This window comes from Homo sapiens, chromosome Y (assembly GCF_000001405.40).
Source record: "Homo sapiens chromosome Y, GRCh38.p14 Primary Assembly".
Classification (NCBI taxonomy): domain Eukaryota; kingdom Metazoa; phylum Chordata; class Mammalia; order Primates; family Hominidae; genus Homo; species Homo sapiens.
Window position 1 is genome coordinate 11460808 of NC_000024.10, and position 3509 is coordinate 11464316.

Consider the following 3509-nt stretch of genomic DNA (forward strand, 5'->3'; position numbering starts at 1 on the left):
TTTATCACTTTTTCCTTTTGTAGATTTTGTTTTTGATATCAAGCCTAAAAATTATTTGCCTAGCCCAAGGTCTCAAGAGTTTTCTTATATTTTAAAAAGTTTAATGAATTTATTTATTTATTAATTATTTTTGAGACGAGGTTTCGCCCAAGCTGTAGTGCAGTGGTGCCATCATTACTCACTGCAGCCACTAACTGCTGGATTGAAGTGATCCTTCCACCTCAGCCACTTGAGTAGTAGCTGGGATTACAGGCACGAGCTACCATACACAACTTTAAGTTTTATCATATTACATTTTACATTTAAGCCTGTGATTTATGTGAGCTAAATTTTATATAAAGTATAAATTTAGATCAGTCTTAGTTTTTGTACCTGTGAATGTCCAATTGCTCTAGCACCATTTGTTGAAAAAGATATCCTTCCTTTAAACTGATTTTGCATCCTTGTTAAAAAAAAAAACTCAGTTGAATATAGTGTGGTCTGTCAGCTTTTAATAAGATAAAAACATTGGCACTCACCAGATATCGAAGTTTAGAAATTTTTTTAAAGCTAAACTTCTGAAAATTGAATAAAAACACCTTCACATGTCAAATTAGTCAATTTGTATAGGACTAATTCATTTAAATATATTAAAATACAAAATAATTCAAACCACTAAAGTGATAATACAAGACTATAAATTTAAAGGCTAATTATTAAATCAAATTGCTGTATTCTACGTGTTAGAGTGAGCTCAAAAGATCCATTGTATTACTGAATAGGCGAAAGTTTTAATTTCAGAGGATGAAACTGATATATTACTGCCACCTGGTGGATATTCTGTTATTACAGGCTGTTATAAAAATCAATGAGAGTATGTAATCTGTTCTAACAAGAAGCATTTCCTTTTTTGTCGTTTTTATTATTGTTATTATTACATTTTAAATTCTGAGATACATGTATAGAACGTGGAGATTTGTTACATAGGTATACACATGCCATGGTGGTTTACTGCACCCATCAACCCATCATCTAAGTTAGGTATTTCTCCTAATGCTATCACTCCCCCAGCCTCCCACTCCGCTGACAGGCCCCGGTATGTGATGTTCCCCTCCCTGTGTCCATGTGTTCTCATTGTTCAACTCAAAAGAAAAACAGAAGCATTTTCTGTTTTACCAATTTCTTAAATACAATGCAACTTTATGTTTAATTTAACTAACTTAATTTTTTGAGACAAGGTCTAGCTCTGCTGCCCAGGCTGGAGTGGAGTGGCGTGAATATGGTTCAGTGAAACCTCCACCTCCCTGGCTCAAGTGATCCTCCTTCCTCAGTCTCTCGAGTAGCTAGGACCACAGGCACGCCACCACCATGGCCAGCTAATTTCTTTTTGATTTTTTTAGAGATGAGGTCTCACTTTGTTGTCCACGCTGGTCTCAAACTCCTGGGCTCAAAGGATCCTCTTGCCATGGCCTCCAACAGTGCTGGGATTTATAGGTGTGTGCCATGGCACCAGGCCTAAGCAACTGTAGAGAAGCCTTTTTTTCTTTCATAAAAGCAGTTGTAGATATTTTCCTTATGGAATTTATTTGTGGTGAAATATTTTAATAGACAGTTTAATTTGTTAAATAACTTGTCTCAGATAATAATAATTTATTAATATTAAAACTACAAAATAAGTCGGGTCTTCTTTTTCTATGAAAACTGAAAGTTGATTCTGACATTTATGTAAACATTTTAAATATTCAAAGTATATAAATGTGAAGTCCTATCAAGAGTAATTAGACAAGAGAAAGAAATAAAGAGCATTCAAATCGGAAAGGAGGACATCAAATTGTTCATATTTGCAGATGACATGATCTTATATATAGGAAAACCTGAAGACTCTACCAGAAAACTTTTAGAACAAACAAATTCAGTGACGTTGCAAGACACAAAACTAATACACAAAGATTGGTTGCATTTATATGTATGAACAACAAACTCGCTGAAAAAGAAATTAAGAAGGCAAACCCATTTACAATAGTTACCAAAAGAAAACCCAGACATAAATGTAACCAAGGAGGTAAAATGAAAACTACAAAACACTAATGAAAGAAATTGAAGAGGATACAAACAAATGAAAAGACATTCACACTCATGGATCAGAAATATGAATGTTGTTAAAGTGACAGTACTACTCAAAAGCAACCTGCAGATTCAATGCAATCTCTATCAAAATACCTATGAACATTCTTCACAAAATTAAAAAAAAAATCCAAAGAGATTTTATGGAATCAAAAAATATCCTGAAGAGCCAAAGCCACCCTAAGCAAAAAAAAACAAAGCTGGATGTATCATGCTACCAGACCTCAGAATATACTACAAAACTGTAGTAACCAAAACATCATGGTATTGGCATAAAAACAGACACATAGACCTATGGAATAGAATAAAGAACCCAGAAAATCCACATATCTCAGCCAACGGATTTTTTACAAAGATGCCAAAACACTCATTGGGGAAAGGATAGTCTCTTCAATAAATGGTGCTGGGAAAACTGGATATCCATATGCAGAAGAATGAAACTAAACCTCTGCCTCTCACCCTATACAAAAGTCAACTCAAAGTATCTCAAATACCCAAATATAAGACCCAAAATGGTAAAGCTACTAGAAGAAAACATAGGGGAGATCCTTCAGGACATTGCTCTGGGAAAATATTTTATGAATAAGGCATCAAAAGCACAGACAACAAAAGAAAAAATAAACAAATGAGATCACATCAAGGTAAAAATCTTCTGCACAGCAAAGGAAATAATAAAGTGAGTGAAAAGACAACCTACAGAATGGGAGAAAATATAAACTCATCTGGCAGGAAATTAATAACAAGAATATACAAGGAATTCAAACATATCAACAGCAAAGAAGCACAACAATCTAATTAAATATAAACAAATGCTCTGAACAGACATTTCTCAAAAGAAGACATACAAATGACCAACAAATATATGAAAAAAATGTTCAACACCACTAATCAGCAAGGAAATGTTAATCAAAGCCACAGTGAGGCATCATCTTACTCCACTTAGGATGGCTATTACAGAAGAGACAAAAATAACAAATGCTGACAAAGACGTGAAGAAAAGGGACTTTTTTTTGACAGAATCTCACTCTCCGTCCAGGCTAGAGTGCAGTGGTGGTGTAATCTGGCTCCCTCTGCCTCTAGGGTTCAAATAGTTCTCCTCCCTCAGCCTCCTGAGTAGCTGGAGAAAAAGGAACTCTTACGTACTGTTGGTAGGAATGTAAATTAGTGCAGCCAGTATGGAGAACAATATTGAAACACCTCAAGAAATCCCACTACTGGGAATTTATCCAAAGGAAAGAAAAGCATTATATTGCAGAGACATCTGCATCCCCATGTTTATTGCAACAGTGTTCACAATAGCCAAGATATGGAATCAACCTAGGTTTCCAACAACAGATGAATGGATTTTTTAACTATGGTATATATATATCAAGAAATGCTATTTAGCCATAAAAAAGAATAAATAA